Source organism: Homo sapiens, chromosome 10, assembly GCF_000001405.40.
Source record: "Homo sapiens chromosome 10, GRCh38.p14 Primary Assembly".
NCBI classification, from domain to species: domain Eukaryota; kingdom Metazoa; phylum Chordata; class Mammalia; order Primates; family Hominidae; genus Homo; species Homo sapiens.
The window spans coordinates 64,018,657-64,039,255 of record NC_000010.11 but is presented as its reverse complement, the minus strand read 5'-3'; the positions used below and the strand labels follow the sequence as shown (position 1 = coordinate 64,039,255).

Sequence of the window (20,599 nt, the reverse complement as noted above, 5' to 3'; positions counted from 1 at the left end):
AAAAAAGCTCACACAACACAAGGTGATTATGACCAATGAGTTATACCAACTGGGAACTTCGTAGAAGCAACATCCTACACCTTGATTAGTTTCGTGTTCTCTGGGGAACCCTCGCACAGTGTTAGGCACGGAATGTTGCTTACTCATCCCTATCAAGTCAAAGGGAGTTTTTAAAGGAATGTAGGCCACCTAACTTATGTAATTTAACTGGGTTTTGAAATGAGAACATACAGAATCACATAAGTTTAATGAAATCCTTGAAGAGCCTGTACCTCTGGCCTCAAATCCTTTCAAGGAATGAAAGGGGAGCAAATTTGGAGTAGATAGAAGCACCATTTGGTTTGGAGTCACATTCACAAAGGTCCTGAACTTAAGCCATTTGATGGTATCCCCAAATAAACCTACACACATATGGTCACAATATCCTCTGGCAGACAGAATAAAGACAGTCATCCTACAACCCTGTAAGCTTGTGTCCCCTTACTGAAGTGCATATGAGTAATAGTTTTATAAATACTGTAATTCTTTTATGAATAGCCAAAGGAGTTAAAAGCAATTATATGTAAACATTTATACTGCCATAACTGTAAGCTGCTTTAGTCATTTTTAAATTTTTAAACACACCAGTAGACTCAAAAAATCGTGATGGCTCTGTTAGGAGCTTCTCAAAGTGAGGAGAATCATGAAATGAGATCTGCCCAGGCCAGGGAGTCCTGCATTACATGGGCCAAGCAACAAACACACCTAAGCAAAAACTGTACACAGAAGGAACTACAGCTTTTCCACTGAACTCCAGGGCTTTGCACAGTGCCAGTCACACAGCCACTTTGAAAGCTGAGCACGTCCACATGTCCGTAGCCTCCTTCTGAGAAAAGCAGCCATGGGAAATGATTTCTGCCAAGGTCACCATACTGTGTTCTGTGAGACCCACTATCACGGCCAAGGCTGATTGGTCAAGAGGTTGGTGCCTGAGCCAAGCCACCTGCCAAAAACCAGCAGGCCTCGGGAGTAGCCTGACAGGACAGCCTTGCCGGGCAGGATGCTCTATGCTGGACAGGAAGCGACTAAACCAATGACATTCTCAAGGAGCTTCAATACTTCCAAGAGTCAGAAATCAAGAGAGTGATATGGAAGCCAAAGGCACACAGAGAAAACTCAACATGCGGAGGTCATAAAACAGCAGAAACCACAAGTCACAGAGAAGAGTGGAAACAGAAGACACTCAGTAGCAGGAAAGCTACAATCCCTAGAGAGACTGAGGAAGGATATGCTTATTCAGGGCTATGACTGAGTCTCGGGGGACAAGAATAAAAGTGGATTTAAACTTGATTACCTTTGTGAAGATCCTATAGCCAAATAAGGCCACACTGCAAAGTAGTGGGGTTTAGGACTTCAACATATGGATTTTGAGGTGGCAAAATTCAACCCATAATAGTGTCCAACAGTCAGTGTGACTGGTATCCTTATAAAAAGGGGAAATTTGGAGACAGTGTGCTCACAGGAAGAACGCCCTGTTAAGATGAAGGCAAAGATTGGGGTGATGCATCTATAAGCCAAGGAACCCCCCAAATTGCCAGCAAACTACCAGAAGCTAGCGGAGGGCCACAGAGCAAATTCTCTCTTTCACAATCCTCAGAAGGAAGCAACCCCATTGACACTTTGATCTCAGACTTCTAGCCTGCAGAACTGAGAGACAATAAATGTCTGTTACATCCCCAGTTTATGATACATGGTTAAAACAGCCCTAGCAAACTAACCCAGGCACGGAGCGCTACCGTTGAGTGAGAAACATCTGCTCTGTTCCTTGAGGCTGACTATTTGGCTACTGAAAGGCTTTCTGTCTTCTATCCTCCCGCTCATGTATCCCCACAATAACTCCCATAACCTCAGACAACCCGAGCCTGTCTGCTCCCTGGAAGCTGAAAGAACTTCAGTAACTCAGTTGGAGTGCAGGCAGCAGTGTTTGGGAAGGAGTAAATGAAGCAGTTGGAAGCAAAGAAGCTGCTGCTTTGGGATCCGCAAATCAGAGGATCAGGAAATGTGAAACAACTTTCCTGACAGCTTCAGGGAGTGACATCCAGGCAGGAACTCGGCGGCTTGGCAGAGCTGGAGGAGGATAGCAGGTGAGCCTGGGAAACCTACATCCTGGCAAGCTTCTTGCTGGGGGGAGGGATCTGGTCTCCCAACCACTTGTTGTTCCCATCCAAGCCACTCTCTCCAATAGAACAGTTCCTGAAGGCACTAATAGAGATCAATTTTCTCTATTATTCGGGGTCTGCAATGCAGCAAATATTTCCGAAGCCAGCCTAATCTCTTAGCAAAGCCCCTTGACTCCCCCACACAGCTGTTTTTAATGGTGGACCAGGGACCACATCATGCAAGCACTTTCTGGGTTCTTTTACACTTCCTCCTTCCCCTAAAGCTCATTTTCCCACAGCCTGCATTCACTGGATGCCTGGTGTGAGGAAAGAACTGGCACATGTCCTGATTCAGCCATCTGTGCTTCCTCTCCCCACCAAAGTGAAAATGCATTCAAACTAAATTATTTTGAAAACACATTCTCTCCATTCAAGTTCTACTTCAAGACCTCACAATAGAGGGCACCTCCACGATCTCATTCCTGGCAGCACTTGAATGGGGGCTGCTGAACAATACACTCTCAGTACTTGCTCAGAAAGAAAGACAAGACTTGGGACGAAAACAGGTGAAAGCTCTTCCGAGATTTAGAGAGACAGGACCCGGTGCCGAATTGCTTTCCAGGCGGTCAAGCCGCATTGCTCATTACGTGGAGTGAATGGGATGATTCCAAACCAGCCCTGGACGAGGTGGCAAGTGAACATGTGCTTTAATTGCTGCTTATTCAATGTTTAAATTATACGTTTTTATATTTAAGCCAGTGTTAATTTATTTTGCCTTTTTATACCTTTACATTAAATAAGCTTTCCAAAAGGCTTTAAGGGGAACAAACATTTTTGACTATTTTCCTTATGCCAGACCACATAATGGGCTCACAGTTTATCTCATTTTATCTTCACAACATCCCTTTGTAATGAGTACTTTTATCTTCATTTTAAGGAATAGTAGTAATCCAGCTCAGAAAGGTTAGTTAACTCATCTAGGACACACAACAAATAGGCAGAAGGAGCAACATTTGAACCTAAGTTTTTACCATTACACCCTTCTAGAGATAGATGGAGGGTGACTTTTAGTATCAGAGAAAAGATTATTTGGATGCAGTGATTAAAACATCTCCTCTATTATTGATTCTTTATATTTCTGAGATAAATCAATTAGTACCACTGTCAGAGTGTGAGAATCAACCATTTCTAGCATAATTATGTATCAGTAATTATTGATCCCTAATGAACATAAACTCTATTTTAGGATTGTGGCCAGTGAGGCTTAGAATGGTTCTTTAGGAATCCTCTAGTCCCACAGAAACCACATTTTAGACTAAAATTTGGACTAGAAGGATTCCTCTACAATGTCTAAATAGCAGTTACAATTTTTATTTTGCTCAATTGAGAAGAATTATAAACTAGAATCAAAATGTAGTGGTGCTTTCTTTTTTTTTTTTTTCCTGAGACAGAGCTCCACTCTGTCACCCACGCTGGAATGCAACGGTGCAATCTCGGCTCACTGCAATCTCTGCCTCCCCAGGCTCAAGCAATTCTCCTGCCTCAGCCTCCTGAGTAGCTGGGATTACAGGCATGCCACCATGCCCAGCTAACTTTTGTATTTTTAGTAGAGACGGGGTTTCACCATGTTGGCCAGGCTGGTCTCAAACTCCTGACCTCGTGATCCGCCCACCTTGGCCTCCCAAAGTGCTGGGATTACAGGCGTGAGCCACCACAACCAACCAGTGGTGCTTTTAAATGAATTAATCACATTTATTGACCACAATAGATCTACAAACATTTTTAAAATTTGTGGTACTTGTGGACAAAGGCATATTACTTATTTCATCTACAGCAATGATTGGTTCATATGTAGATGCAGATGCCTTAGAAAAACTCCTCAGGCCCTCCAAGAGACTTTTGCCACTAGGCTAGGAAGCCCCAGTCCAGGCCAGTCGCATAAATGGAGACAGAGAAGCCCAGAGGAGAAAGATTTGTGCCCAAGGTCAAGCAGTAGCAAAGCCAACACTAAATTCTGAATTTCCTGACTTGCATTTCAGCGCTCTTTTTCCAACCTGGAAACAGCCCATTCAGTCAATAACTCACCTCCAGTGCCTTTTCCTAAAGCATTTACAGTCAGGAGAACAAATTCAGGTATGCAAAAATACAACTTTATTTTTCTAAAACAGAAATGTAATGTGTTCCTTGAATCCTTTTTCCGTCAAGGGTAAAAATGTGAATCATGGTCAATTCTGAGAGTTCGCTCAGTCAGTTCAGGATTTCCCTCTTCTATAGGAGTTGCATCTGGTGCAGGCTGGGGACAGAGGAGATTACACAGTGTCAGGACGTTTGAGGTGTCTGGGCTTTGAGTGTCATCCATCCACACTGCCATCCCTGAGCTGTAACTCATCAGCTGAGTCCCAGGATGTCATTAACCTTCTACTGTGCCTCCACTGAGGCTGACATCTGTGTTCCCCGCCTGGTTCCTGGCCATACCTCTCACACCAAATTTCAGTCTTCCTTCCCTTCTCCCAGCCTTGAGGACTCCTAGGGTCCCCTGACTTTCCCTCAGCTCTCCTAGGCCCCTCTCCAGGGCAGGGCGAATATTTGATTGGTCTCTTGTGCCTTTCTCTCACTATTATCTCTGCCTTGGGTTCCAAAACTATATTTTGAAACTCAAGAGCAAGAAATGACTCCTTTTTCTTACAATCATTCTTTCTGTGGCCTCCCTTCCCTAAAGAATAAGAAAGACATGCAGCTGTGAAAATGCACTGGTTAATACTTCAAGTCGTTGTCTTGCTACATTTTGCTTTGCAATAACTAAAGTAATTACAACTGCGTTAGTATCTCTATTAAAATTTCTTCCATTTAAGTCATTAACATCTTTTACATAAATCACCCCCCGTAATATAACTGACATAATTTCTGGCCCAAAAAAAAAAAAAAAAAAAAAAAAGAGTCATGGAAGATATCCAAGAGAAATGTATAAGCTCTGCAGAAAAAAAAAAAAAAAGCAACATGGGTCTCCCAGGTTCCCTCACTAGAGAAGAGAATGAGAATCATATGGCTGTGAAGTGAGATGGCCACAGGTCAGTTAAGGCGTGAACATGCACGGAATAATAAGTACTCTCCAACTCATTTAAGTTGCAGCTTAAACTGTCTGACTTAATTGTCTCTAAAAGTTCCACTTGCCTAATACTGTTCCTCTTTCTCTCTGGCATGGCCGGAATTAGTCACCATCAGTGAACTGGGAAATGAGGTCCAGTCATTGCCTCCAGAAGAACCCCCCTTCCCACCCCCCAGCTAAATGAGATCAAGTCCAGATGTCAACAGAACTTTCTGGTCTAAGAATAAAAGCAGAGCCAAATAACCTCAACAACCCCAATTTTCTATCCTGGCCCCTCATTGCTCAATGAACTTCTAATACCCCTTGTCAAGCCCTCTGCCCTACCCAAAAAGGAACTTTGTGGGTACTGAAATGCCACTCTGTCTGTTTCATCTACCACAATCACCAGGCACTGTCCCTGATGATGGGGCCCTAATAAAAGACATCCCCCCTGCACCAGCCTGCTCTAAATTCCAAAAGTTTTGCCATTAGTTTCCTTTTGGCAAGATCACTGACTGTCACTGTATTTTTTTAATGTACAATCTGAAAAGTATACAATTATATGAGTCATCATTAAGCTATGAAAATCCTAGGTAAAATTATCTAACCAGCTGCAGTGAAAAGGGAACCCCTAAATAGAGAGAGTGGAGAGGATGGGGATCATAAAAAGGCATCAAATTAAGAGCTAAAGTAGCAGGCACAGTGAGAACACATAATGAGAGGAAGCACAGAAGAGAGATGCGGTACTGAGTGGCAGAGGAGGCAAGAGAAAAATAGAGGAGAGGTAATACACAATGAGAATGAAAAGGTCAAAAAGAAACTTGGCCTAATGCTTAAGCAGAAAATAAAGTGACATAACTGGCTTTTCAGGTCAAACCCAAAGTAAGACTCTCTCTTGAGAAAGGCATAAAAAAAAGTTCCCTCTAAATTATAATTGATCACCAGAGTTATCAGCTACAAAATGATGAGTGGTGTTGGCTCATTTAACAAATCTGCACCCCTTCTGATTACTTTTATTCAGAGCTAATTTTAAAAAGCTCAAACCTTTAATAAAAATGGCAAAAAGATGATTGCAAAAGCACCTGAACCTCAACATAATATTTCAAGGTGTGCTCATACTGGCATGATAGACCACAGGACAGTTACCTCCCTTGACCTGAACACTACACTCTGATTAATGTAGTCTAAGTTGGTATTGTTCTCTAAATAAAAGCCCTACACCAGCAGTTCAGGCTCAGCTTCTGATCAACAAAATTCCCAAGATCTTTTCCCACTAACTTCTATTCAGCCAGGTCTGTCCAGTGCTGTATATATTCCATTTTATTTTTGTATGTTTGACCTTTAACTTGAATACACTTCTACATACTTGTCTCTGTAAATGTAGCCTTGCCGTCTTAGCTCATCATTTCAAACTTAGAATCTATCTGCTCTATATTTTCTGATCTTCCTACATTTGTGGTCATCCTTAACTGACTAATGATGCCTTCTAAATTTATCTAAACTGTATAAAGCCATTGGAGCCCTGTGACACATTACCAAGAACTTCTTTCCAGGCTGAAAATAATCAAAATTAATTAAGAAGTTATAGAGGTACCTAACTGCATTATCATCAACCATCCCCAGGGAAAAGAATGATGAAGATTATAAAAAGATGATGACCACTATGGTCTAAATGTGTCCCTCAAAATTCATGTGTTGGAAACTTAATCCCAATGTCATGATGTTTGGAGGTGGGACCTTTTGGAAGGTGTTTAGAACTTGAGGTCTCCACCCCCTTAAATGGGCTGACGTTCATATAAAAAGGGCTTACAGGAGTGCATTAACTCTCTCTTGCCCTTCCAACTTTTGCCGTATAAGAATGCAGCCACAAGGCCCTCACCAGACCTCAGATGCCAATACCTTTGAGACAGCCAGGTGATAAGGGGTCCCCAGAGAAACTCCAACTGGCCTGCGCACTGGGAGGAGTGCACGCTGGGGTGGAGCCTTGGGAAGTTCGTGCCCCTCCTCTTCCTGATGGAACCTGGAATTTAATCTTCGAGGTGGGAAGGGCACCTAGCAGGACTCTGGCTTTGCGGACAGTCCCTGTTTCCCTTTCTTTCCTTTTCACCCAATAAACCCTGCCCTTCTCACCCTTCAAAGTGTCTGCGAGCCTAAATTTTCATGGTCATCTGACGAGGACCCCATTTTTAGCCAAACTAAGTAGACAGTCCTATAACACCTTAAGCTTGGATTCCCAGCCTCCAGAATTGTGAGAAAATAAACTTATATTCTTTATAAATTTCCCAATCTGTGGTATTCTGTGATAGAAGCACAAAACAAAGACAATGATTGTTTATGATGATCCACCAACATTTACTGATCATTATGTGTCAAGCACTGTGCCAAGTGCAGTATCTAATTTAATCCCACAACTATACATATATATATAAAACTCTTTGATATATATACATGTAACTCAAAGAGTTACATAATTTCCTTACAATGATGCTGCTAGTAAGTGATGAAGTTGTAATTTTAAAAGCCAGGCCATCTTCCTCCAGAGCTAGGCTCTTAACTACCCGATTCTGCCGTTTCCACATGATGCAAGATTTTATTTGAGCCTTTCTAAAATCAGGATATAAAGGCTAGAAGGGTCAAAAGTAATATGTGAAAAACAAAGGATCTAGAAGAAAGGTCCTTGCCCTCCAGTAACTTACAATCCTGTTGGAAGAATAAGACTTAGAAAATAAAGCTATTTTAGAACAAATAGTTTATTGTAGTGCTAAAAAATGAGAATCAGATCTAAGCATTCTTTTTCAGCTCAGTTCTCCAACTTAAAGTTCATAGACTGGAAATTTATAAAACCACAAAGAAAAAGACTAAGGAAAAAATGAATAAGGCCTCCCCCTGGGAGGATTTAGTAAAGAATAATTGAAGTCCATGGAATCCCCCCAGACTGACCATTCATATGCGACTTGGGGATAGAGGTTCTTTAAAAAGTCCTGTAGAGCCAGGCCAGATGCGGTGGTTCACACTTGTAATCCCAGCACTTTGGGAGGCCGCAGTGGGCAGACTGCCTGAGGTCAGGAGTTTAAGACCAGCCTGTCTTAAGATGGTGCAACCCGGTCTCTACTAAAAATACAAAAATCAGTCGGGCGTGGTGGCGGGTGCCTGTAATCGCAGCTACTCGGGAGGCTGAGGCAGGAGAATTGCTGGAACCCAGGGGGCAGAGGTTGCAGTGAGCCAAGATTGTATCACTGCACTCCAGCCTGGGCGACAGAGCAAGGCTCTGTCTCCAAAATAAATAAATAAATAAATAAAATTTAAAAAAAATTCCTGTAGAGCCAGAGTCATTGGGTTCTCCCTCAATTAATATCTGAGGTGCCCAGAAACTGCAATGCCCAGGCAATAAGCCATCAAAGCCCCAGTCAAGCAGAAACATAGTCCCACTGAAGTTAGTGGCCTAAATTCTTCAAGTCAGATGCAGTAATCCCAGAATTAAGTTTCATCAAGTTAAAAAAATCTGATTACCAACCAGATTATCCATTATAATCTCAATGCCCAAAGATAACAAGTTATTCACGGTCTGTCATCCCAATTGTTCTCAGCAAGTAAATGAGAGAACATGCCTTCAGAAAGACGCATCTCAGTCTCTGTTGTGTGACCTAGGGCAGGCACCAGTCCACCTCCAAATTGCTGTAATGATCATGGGAGATAATGAATGGGAAATTGTCTTGTAACTTGAAAGGTATATTTTTAAAGTTATTACCTTCACTAGATGTTTGGGAACAGATTATTACTCATATTAGAAAAGCCCCATATGATAAGCAAAGTGCTCCATAGTCAAACTCGTCTACTTCATTGGCCTCACTCTTCCACTCCACCCTCCCACCCCTACCTCACGTCCACTCCCGATACTCCATATCCGCATATCACCCCAAAGCACTCAGTGCTTTCTTATGCTTCTGTTCCTTTGTCTTGATAAAGATATGATGCTAAAGAGGCCAAATACTACTCTTAAAGAAAGTTAATATTAAAACATAGAGGAAACTTTTGATCTCATTTATTTCCCATTATCTGACTTTATCCCCTCTAGGCAGAAAATCTTAATAACCAAATATTTGCATAATGCCTTTCTTTTTATGTCCTTGATTTCAACCAATTGCTTGAGAATATTTCCCCATCTCTCCAATAGTATCAAACCCAGTGAACTGATATGTTAATTTTAGGTAACTTGGGATATTCAGAGCACTTTGATGTACAATTATAAATCATAAACTAGCAAAGAAGACAAGGCCTCTGGAGAAGGAAATGTCAGAAACTTCTCCTCCTGCTTGTTTCATTAGGAGAGTTGTGATAGTAATGGGAGGAGGCTAGATTGAGAAAATAATCATATGGGGGTTCAGGGAATATTTGTGAAAGTTAGGTTTAGCAGCTCTGTCTAACTTCTTGGTCTGGTAGATGTCGCAAGTTTAATAAAATTTCCCAGATCTTTGAGCCAAAGTCTCTTTTAAGATACCCCAGAAAATCAAGAAGTCATGACAATTAAAGAGTCCTGTACCAGCACATCCTGTCTTCACTGCCTGCAAAGCTCACCACTCTCTTCTCCATCCACAAACTCCCATACTCCTTTGAAGCAGCAGCTGAGCCGCCACAACCTCGAGCCTCTCTCCTGATCACAGCATCACATAGACAAGGCTTCAGTGGAACCATGACAATTAGAATATTTATTGATTGCAGCACTTACAAAATTTGAAATATTTGAATAAAAAATTTTCCATAAAACTTTGGCTCCTGTTTACTTATCTTTAAGCCTAAAGCTCCTAGCACAGTGCCTGGAAACGAATAGCTAGAAAAAATATTTGTTTATATGTCAAGAAAAAAACATTTACTAGGCTCTTGCATAAGCATCCTCAGGGATTTCTCTTCAATTCTAAAGCTCACACAAGCTCAAAAATGCTTAAATGGACGTTGAATTCGTGTTTCATTGTGCCAATCCCTTTTCATGGTGAAATTCCCAGAGCCTGAAAAGGCATGGATAGATTCCCAAACCCTATATTTTATCACCCACCTGCGTTATCCTCTGTGTACTGTGATGGCTTGGTGGGGATGAAATTGACAGAGAGAAAAAGAGGTAATTGACGGAGTAAAATTATCACTAAAAAGTCAGCCTTGAGGACACACTGCAGCACACCTCTCTTATTCACTGTTAGAATAAATTAATCATCTGAAGTTGTCTACAAGGCTCCAAATATTGCCCTGAAATGACCAAACCTTCACTTTTAGCATTCGTTGAAGGGCTAATTGACTTCCAGAAAAGCAGCCTGGCTGGTAAATTCATTGCCAGTTTGAAAAAAAAAAAATCCTTAAATTTAAATTTAAAAATATTTTTAAATTATTTATATATATACATATTGAAAAGAATATTTTCTATCTCCACCTACTGATGCATATCTTTAGCATATGAATATATTATCTTTTAAATCATCAGATTTAAAAGCTTACAGACTCACAACACCATTCATATACTGTAATTATTGGTTTGTCCTCCAATTATCTTCCTAGACTGGGGACTCTTTGAAGGCAAAAATGGGTCCTGCTACTCTTTCTATCCTTTCCAAATTCCTTGCCCTGACGTAGGAAGCACTTACAAAATGCACTTGAATAAATTAAAATGTAGTTATTGTCATTTCTAATAATAATAGCTAACTTTATTAATAGTTTCATTCAATTCTCACAATGATCCTTTGAGGGAGTACTATAAATACCTCCATTTTAGGTTGCATTGAGTGGAGATCGTGCCACTGCACTCCAGCTTGGGTGACAGAGACTCCATCTCACACACACAAAAAAATTCCGTTTTATTTATTTTTCATTTCAACTTTTATTTTAGATTCGGCGGAACATGAGCAGGTTTGTTACATTGGTCTATTGCATGATGCTGAGGTGTGTAATATGATTGATCCTGCGTCACTCAGGTAGTGAGAATAGTACCCAATAGGTAGTTTTCCAACCCCTGCTCCCCTTCCTTCATCCCCACTCTGGTAGTTTGCATCTTTATGTCTATGTGTATCCAATGTTTAGCTCCCACTTACAAGTGAGAACACATGGTGTTTGGTTTTCTGTTTCTGCATTAATTTGCTTAGGATGATGGCCTCCAGCTGCATCCACGTTGCTGCAAAGGACATGATTTTGTTCTTTTTTATGGCTGCGTAGTGTTCCATGGTATATATGTGTCACCTTTTCTTTATCAAATCCACTGTTGATGGGCACCTAGCTTGATTTCATGTCTTTGCTATTATAAATAGTGCTTTGAGGAACATATGAATGCATGTTTCTTTTTGATAGACAGATTTCTTTTCCTTTGGGAATATATCCAATAATGGGATTGGTGGGTTAAATGGTAGCTCTATTCTAAGTTCTTTAAGAAATCTCCAAACTGCTTTCCATGGTGGCTGAACTAATTTACATTCCCACCAGCAGTATGTAAGCATTCCCATTTCTCCACGGCCTTGCCAGCACCTGTTTTTATTTTTGTTTTTTTAAGTTTTTAATAATTGCCATTCTGACTGGTATGAGATGGTATCTCATTGTAGTTTTGATTTGCACTTCTCTGATGATTAGTGATGTTGAGCATTTTTCCATATGTTTATTGGCAACATGGATGTCTTTTTTTTAAATTATCTCCATTTTAGAGATGAAGAAACTGAGGCCTAAAGAAGGTAAGTAACTGACCCTAAGCTACATAGCTACACAATAGAGATGATAGTAGACTTGACTTTAGTAAACTCCTTATGTTTTCAAAGCTCATGCCTGTGTTAAACCACTGTTGCATACTACCTCTGTGAATTTCTAAAGGGACCCAATTTCATATTTTTGTCCTTGTGCTTAGAAACTATGTAAGCCAGGCTAAGCTTACCACAGTAATGAAAAATCCCAATAATTCAATGGCTTTCACAGTAGAGGTTTATCTCACATTTCACGTCTGAGACTCTAGGGAATGGCAGGATCACAAGATGGAAGGAGCCTTGGAGTCTTCTGCCTGATGCCCTGCATGCAGCTTGCAGATGGAGGAAGGGAATGGGGCCATTCTCAGCAGAAGTTACGCTGGGTCAGGCCAAAGACGACACCTGTTCTAAGCCAAAAGGCTTAGACTGATGCACACAGCTTCCACTCACATCCTATTGGCCAGAACTCAACCCTGTCACCACCACACCTAATTGCAGGGCAGAGTGGGAAATGGGCTCCCACTGTGAGGCCAGTAGAAAAAAAGGCAGATATGGGTAAGCACTAATAGCTTCTACCCCAGAAAACTAAGGGACTCAAGATTTAAGCCCGGCATCAGAGAACTTTAGAAGCAGAATGCTAAGATACTTTTCTCTTACGTTATCTTCCAAGCTTCCTATTTTCTGTTCTTCACTCTAAACTACTGTGACCCATTAGCAACTGCAGCTTCTCCTACTAACCTATGCCAATATTACCTGAAGAGTTACATTCAAATCTCTAAAGTATATCCTTTATCTTTTAAGAAAATAAATACTCAAAATGTATTTCTTGCCCTATAGGTGTATTAGAAAATGTCATTTCCATTGCATGAAACTGTTTCCCTTCAGGAAGAATTTATTGCCAGATAACCTTTAACAATAAATTCTCTGAACACATTTAAGGTTTTTAAATTACTTGTAAATATTGTATTTACAAAAATGATTTATAATAAATTAGGATCATAGATTTGATAAAGCAGAGTGAACCTATGGTACATTGAGTGCGAACACAAGTTATATTTCATTAATTAATTCATTCATTCAACAAATATGTATTAAACACCTATTAAGTTTTGTTGCATACCAAACCCAAGACCCAAACGCCAAACACCAATAAATACAATACAGTTTTTTTGGGTTTTTTTTGAGACGGAGTCTCGCTCTGTCGCCCAGGCTGGAGTGCAGTGGGGCAATCTCGGCTCACTGCAACCTCCACCTCCCGGGTTCAAGCAATTCTCCTGCCTCAGCCTCCTGAGTAGCTGGGATTACAGGCACCCACCACCATGCCCAGCTAATTTTTGTATTTTTAGTAGAGACGGGGTTTCACCATGTTGGTCAGGCTGGTCTCGAACCCCTGACCTTGTGATCCACCCACCTCAGCCTCCCAACAATACAGTTTTATATGATGAAAATATTAAATAAGATTTTATAAGACAACCTTGGATCAAAAATCTGGGCCTATTTTCCTAACAGTGTTCCCATACCTCAGCAAATCAGAAGGTACATGTTTAAGTTACATTTAGTTCTGTCTATCAAATGTGGACAGAAGACTGTTCTCTATAATCACGGGGACCCAGAAAAATGTAACTAACTCTCAGAAACTTACCCATTTTCTGAATTCCCTTCAGTTTACAATTAATTATCAGTCAGAGTTGACAACTAGTTCTTACTTCCCTAAGACCCTCAAGACTAGCAATCAAGATTCAAATGCATCAAGATCACCCACAACAACTCAGTTCTTAAAATTAACTCTGAAAATTGCATTCTTTTCTATGTAAACCTAAGATCCTGAGGAGTACATCATTCCAATGGTTTATACACATTGCCAATCATCAGAATCACCTGGAAATTTATATTCATATACATTTTATAAAATTTCTAGTCTATATTCCAGATCTTTTAAATCAGAATCTTGAAGACAGAGGTCTGGCAATTCATGATCTTGAAAATCTACCCTAGTTAACTCTTACAGTGTGACCAGGCATTAAGAAACATTGCATCTTTTAAACTTGCCCACTTTCGGTTAGATCTACCTTAGGATACCCAAGGCCTCACATCATTGTAGACAATCACCCAGGTCTTAGAAGGTAGATTTCTAGCTACCATCTTTCCTCTGCAGCTTGACTCTAAGTCTCTCAGAAACACTTTTTTTTCTTTACAAAACTTTTACCTTGGAGCAGTTCTCTAGTAATTCCAAACCAGAGGCAAGTAATGCTCTCATTATCGTAATCACTTCATCAGTCTACATTTTAATGGACGCATATCTCAAACCCTTTTCAAAACCCAAATCAGAGAGGGATTTTAAAAGAAACAAGTTAGCACTACTTTAAAACCCATTTTCAGTCATTCTCGCATCCTTAGTAGAAATCCGTTAAGACTTTAGAAGTCATTAAGGGGTGGCCCTGAAGGTTTTTTGATTGTCAGAAAGTGTTATTGAGATGGATTTGTTGAAGAGATGCTTTATACCATTTCATATTCCTGTCAAAGTTTTATTAGATTTCTAAACTGAAGATAAATACTTTATTTTTAACCATAACAATCTGAGGCTCTGAGAAAGAAAACGAGAAAGTCAAATTATCCTAAACCTTAGTATGGAAGATGGAATTGCACACTTTCAAGTAGAACTGGCTGTAATTCAAATGAAGCAGGACCTCCGCAAATAACAAATAACAACCACAACTAAAATTGGGACAATAATATGTGGAAAGAGCCAACCTTCCAAACTGATTGCTTGATTTAATTTCCTTATTTAGTACAGCTTTATCTCATTCCCTCTGGCAAAAAAAAAATAATATATATATATATATATTTAAATTTCCCTTATTAATTCCTTTAGTATGATCACAAACCTCAACAGGCAGGCTACTTGAGAAACAGTTCATAGACTCTCAGAGCTGGAGAAAGCCACAGGGATTACCTAGTCCAAACGTCTCTTCAATACAAGAATCCTTTCTCTGGTGTCATTGACAAAGAGAAGCTCAACCAGATTCTGCTTCAAAGATTTCAGGGAAATAACAAGGACTGACATTTGTAGGTCACTTTGTAGATAATAAAGCACCTTTAATCATGTTGTTTCCCTTAAATTATATTGTAGATGATGACATGGAGATTTTGAGAGATTAAATGACTTGCTGTGATGACACAACTAACAAATGGCTGAATTAAGTCTTTGTACTAAAAAGTCATATTTCTTTTCCGTCTTGCCTCCCTGGTGAGAGTCAAGGGAGGCTTTGTTCTTTGCAAGGCATTGCACTACAGCTGACCCTTGAACAACATGGGTTTGAACTGCAAGGTCCACGTATACTCTGATATTTTTCAATAAAAGTTACACCGAGTGTGCTTACCTCTCCTACATCCCCTTCCACCTCCACCACCTCTGCCTCTGTCACCCAAGACAGCAAAACCAACCCCTCCTCTTCCTCCTCCTTCTCAGCCTACTCAACATGAAGACCGTGAGGCTGAAGATCTTTACAATAATCCACTTCCACTTAATGAATAGTAAATATATTTTCTCTTCTTTATGATTTTTAGTAATATTTTCTTTTCTCTTGCTTACTTTATTGTAAGAATACAGTCATAATATATATAACATACAAAATATGTTAATTGACTGCTTATGTTATCAATAAGGCTTTCGGTCAACAGTAGGATATTAGTAGTTAAGTTTTTAGGGAGTCAAAAGTTATACATGGATTTTGACTCTGCAGGGAGTCAGCACCCAAACCCTCATGTTGTTTAAGGATCAACTGTACTTTATTGAACAGCTATAATGATTTAAAAATTCCTAAAGAGGCAAAATCTATTTCCCTGTAACTTTTAAGAATTTTAACAGAACCTTTAATAGTGCTTAGTTTATGACAGGCACTATTTAAAGTACCTTCCATATATTAACCCATTTAATTCTCTTTACTATGAAATGGGTACAATTACTATCCCCATTTTACACATAAGAAAACTAAAGCTGCAAGTGACTGGCAAAGCTGGAATCTAAACCAAATTAGTCCATCTCCAAGTCCAAAGACCACCCTGTCTCTCACTCTACTGTGGGAACTGCATTCTAAACTTTGAATCAACACAAAATAAAATTGCTTTTTTGGCCAAAAAATAACCATGAAAATATTTGAAGATAACTATCAAGCTCCCTCTTTAAGATTTGTATCACTCAGGGTTCCATCAGAGAAACTGAACCACTAGAAATGATACATAAGATAAGAGATCTATTACTAGGATTTTACTTTCACAATTGTGAGAGCTAAACAGTCTCTGTAAATCTCTTGTACTTATGTCTGAAGCCAAAAGTCAGAAACTCAAGGCTTGATATTTGATAAAATTAATTTTTTACTGTTTTATTAAGAGCATTCTTTTTTTTTTAAGAGCATTCTTAAGTAAAACTGGCTTTAAAAAAAAAAAACTACAAGAGCATGGGAATGAAAAATACAGTGATCACAAGTACAGTTTGGAGCTACTGCTTTGATTCATGTTAAGCAGCTAGACATTTACCCACCACTTTTGTTGAGCTATCAGTGCAAATAACAACACAGTGCAAAGGAAAATAATATCTTAGTATTATTATAAAAATCACTTTGAACTTACAGAGCCTCTGAAATGGATTTAGGGACTCTCAGGGGTTTCTGGGCCACACTTTAAGGACCAATGATCTCTAGTATATCCAAGAAGTTCTGGCATGTCAACTTAATTTAGAGTAGGCCACCTTTGGATCCAGGTTTATATCAACCAACCAAGCACCACACACTCATACACACAAACACACACACGCACACACAATCTCTTTGGATGAGAATCCTCATTGCCTACACACAATTCAATTGTGCTTGCACACAGAATTCCAACTCCAAAACAAAAGGAACTTCAAGCATGGCACTGTTATAAGTGGTCTGTCTTCCCTCATTGTAGACATAAAGACATATTTAAGTGAAAAGGTAACACTCTTTTGAAGGAAAAGCTTTTATAAGATTAGTATCCTCTATTCTCATTAAAAGACAAATCATTCCATAGGTCCCTTGAGAAGTTTTTCCTAATATCCCACTACATACTTGTTGGCTTCTGTCCATCATCCAATTATCAAGACCATTTTTAATTTTGAGTCTGCTCTTCATACTTTGTGCCAGGAGGACTCTTGGAAATCCTGAGCTGCAAATTGGAGGCAGTTCTTGACTATTTCCCATGTGACGCTCCCTCCTTTATCTGAGGAGAAATGGATGCAATTGTCACTTGTGTTTTTAGAGCATGGTACCACAAGACCTTGATCATTTCATCCCTAAAACTAATTTAAGACATTAATAATGAAATTGAAGCAAAAAAAAAGCCAAACAAAATATATCGTTTCTTTCAGATAAACTATGCATAGTTGCTACCTGTAATATTTCCATTAGTGATTACAGGAAGCCCATCTCTCAATGTCCCCAGTAAAAGCAGAAATTGGGTGTCACCGCCATCAATCACTTATAAAAGAGAAGCTCCAGCCATCTCACTAGTTGGAGGCAGTGACCACACTGTGACTATGGATACCAACTGTTGCCAGACCTCTGTTCTTTCACTAGCTTAAAATGGAGGAAGGGGGAGCCCTGAGTTCACTACAGTCCAAACTAAAAACAAAAGGAAAACACCTGATAACTGGAGTAATAGCTCATTATTACTTAAGAATATACTAAGGAAACAAATGAAAAGGACTTGATTGAAAAAGACACATAGTTGACTTTGTCATTTAAAAGTCTGGCCGCTGGGGGTGTAGCCAAGATGGCCAAATAGGAACAGCTCCAGTCTACAGCTCCCAGCGTGAGCAACACAGAAGACAGGTGATTTCTGCATTTCCATCTGAGGTACCCAGGTTCATTTCACTAGGGAGTGCCAGACAGTGGGTGCAAGACAGTGGGTGCAGCGCACCGGGCGTGAGCCGAAGCAGGGCGAGGCATTGCCTCACTCGGGAAGTGCAAGGGGTCAGGGAGTTCCCTTTTTCCTAGTCAAAGAAAGGGGTGACAGACAGCACCTGGAAAATAGGGTCACTCCCACCCTAATACTGCACTTTTCCAATGGGCTTAAAAAACGGCACACCAGGAGATTATATCCCGCACCTGGCTCGGAGGGTCCTACTCCCACGGAGTCTCGCTGATTGCTAGCACAGCAGTCTGAGATCAAACTGCACGGCGGCAACAAGGCTGGGGGAGGGGCGCCTGCCATTGCCCAGGCTTGATTAGGTAAACAAAGCAGCCTGGAAGCTCGAACTGGGTGGTGGAGCCCACCACAGCTCAAGGAGGCCTGCCTGCCTCTGTAGGCTCCACCTCTGGGGGCAGGGAACAGACAAACAAAAAGACAGCAGTAACCTCTGCAGACTTAAATGTCCCTGTCTGACAGCTTTGAAGAGAGTAGAGGTTCTCCCAGCACACAGATGGAGATCTGAGAACGGGCAGACTGCCTCCTCAAGTGGGTCCTTGACCCCAGAGCAGCCTAACTGGGAGGCACCCCCCAGTAGGGGCAGACTGACACCTCACACGGCCGGGTACTCCTCTGAGACAAAACTTCCAGAGGAACGATCAGGCAGCAGCATTTGTGGTTCACCAAGATCTGCTGTTCTACAGCCACCGCTGTTGTGCAGCCACCGCTGCTGATTCCCAGGCAAACAGGATCTGGAGTGGACCTCTAGCAAACTCCAACAGACCTGCAGCTGAGGGTCCTTCTGTTAGAAGGAAAACTAACAAACAGAAACGACATCTGCACCAAGACCCCTTCTGTACGTCACCATCATCAAAGACCAAAAGTAGATAAAACCACAAAGACAGGGAAAAAACAGAGCAGAAAAACTGGAAACTCTAAAAAGCAGAGCACCTCTCCTCCTCCAAAGGAACGCAGCTCTTCACCAGCAACGGAACAAAGCTGGACGGAAAATGACTTTGATGAGCTGAGAGAAGAAGGCTTCAGACGATCAAACTACTCCAAGCTACAGGAGGAAATTCACACCAATGGCAAAGAAGTTAAAAACTTTGAAAAAAAATTAGACGAATGGATAACTAGAATAACCAATGCAGAGAAGTCCTTAAAGGAGCTGATGGAGCTGAAAGCCAAGGCTCGAGAACTATGTGACGAATGCAGAAGCCTCAGGAGCCGATGCGATCAACTGGAAGAAAGGGTCTTGGTGATGGAAGATGAAATGAATGAATTGAAGCAAGAAGAGAATTTTAGAGAAAAAAGAATAAAAAGAAATGAACAAAGCCTCCAAGAAATATGGGACTATGTGAAAAGACCAAATCTACGTCGGATTGGTGTACCTGCAAATGACAGGGAGAATGGAACCAAGTTGGAAAACACTCTGCAGGATATTATCCAGGAGAACTTCCCCAATCTAGCAAGGCAGGCCAACATTCAGTTTCAGGAAATACAGAGAACGCCACAAAGATACTCCTCGAGAAGAGCAACTCCAAGACACATAATTGTCAGATGCACCAAAGTTGAAATGAAGGAAAAAATGTTAAGGGCAGCCAGAGAGAAAGGTCGGCTCACCCACAAAGGGAAGCCCATCAGACTAACAGTTGATCTCTTGGCAGAAACTCTACAAGCCAGAAGAGAGTGGGGGCCAATATTCAACATTCTTAAAGAAAAGAATTTTCAACCCAGAATTTCATATCCAGCCAAACTAAGCTTCACAAGTGAAGGAGAAATAAAATACTTTACAGACAAGCAAATGCTGAGAGATTTTGTCACCACCAGACCTGCCCTAAAAGAGCTCCTGAAGGAAGCACTAAACATGGAAAGGAACAACCGGTACCAGCCACTGAAAAAACATGCCAAAATGTAAAGACCATCAAGGCTAGGAAGAAACTGCATCAACTAACAAGCAAAATAACCAGCTAACATCATAATGACAGGACCAAATACACACATAACAATATTAACTATAAATGTAAATGGGCTAAATGCTCCAATTAAAAGATACAGACTGGCAAATTGGATAGAGTCAAGACCCATCAGTGTGCTGTATTCAGGAAACCCATCTCACGTGCAGAGACACACATAGGCTTAAAATAAAGGGATGGAGGAAGATCTACCAAGCAAATGGAAAACAAAAAAAGGCGGGGGTTGCAATCCTAGTCTCTGATAAAACACACTTTAAACCAACAAAGATCAAAAGAGACAAAGAAGGCCATTACATAATGGTAAAGGGATCAATTCAACAAGAAGAGCTAACTATCCTAAATATATATGCACCCAATACAGGACCACCCAGATTCATAAAGGAAGTCCTTAGTGACCTACAAAGAGACTTAGACTCCCACACAATAATAATGGGAGACTTTAACACCCCACTGTCAACATTAGACAGATCAACGAGACAGAAAGTTAACAAGGATACCCAGGAATTGAATTCAGCTCTGCACCAAGCAGACCTAATAGACATCTACAGAACTCTCCACCCCAAATCAACAGAATATACATTTTTTTTAGCACCACACCACACCTATTCCAAAATTTACCACATAGTTGGAAGTAAAGCACTCCTCAGCAAATGTAAAAGAACAGAAATTATAACAAACTGTCTCTCAGACCACAGTGCAATCAAACTAGAACTCAGGACAAGAAACTCACTCAAAACCGCTCAACTATATGGAAACTGAACAACC

General features: G+C 40.6%; 2 long non-coding RNA genes across 5 annotated transcripts in view; one reads left to right on the top strand and one right to left on the bottom strand.

Annotated features, from left to right (window-relative positions):
• The window catches only part of LOC124902439 (uncharacterized), an 820,351-nt gene that overhangs the window by 653,684 nt on the left and 146,068 nt on the right, over window positions 1-20,599 (bottom strand). The window contains exons 3-4 of one of the 4 annotated variants that reach the window (XR_007062164.1): window positions 17,021-17,171; window positions 4,267-4,431 (exon numbers count right to left, since the gene is read on the bottom strand). The exons of 2 other annotated variants lie outside the window; for them this stretch is intronic. This is a non-coding gene — a long non-coding RNA (uncharacterized LOC124902439). Of the gene's footprint in view, window positions 1-4,266; window positions 4,432-17,020; window positions 17,172-20,599 lie in introns of those variants that run through there. One more of the 4 variants, XR_007062162.1, reaches the window with a different exon arrangement.
• Window positions 1,952-9,937, top strand: LOC105378333 (uncharacterized). The gene is made up of 3 exons (XR_946014.3): window positions 1,952-2,123; window positions 4,178-4,271; window positions 9,718-9,937. It is a non-coding gene; the product is annotated as an uncharacterized LOC105378333 (long non-coding RNA).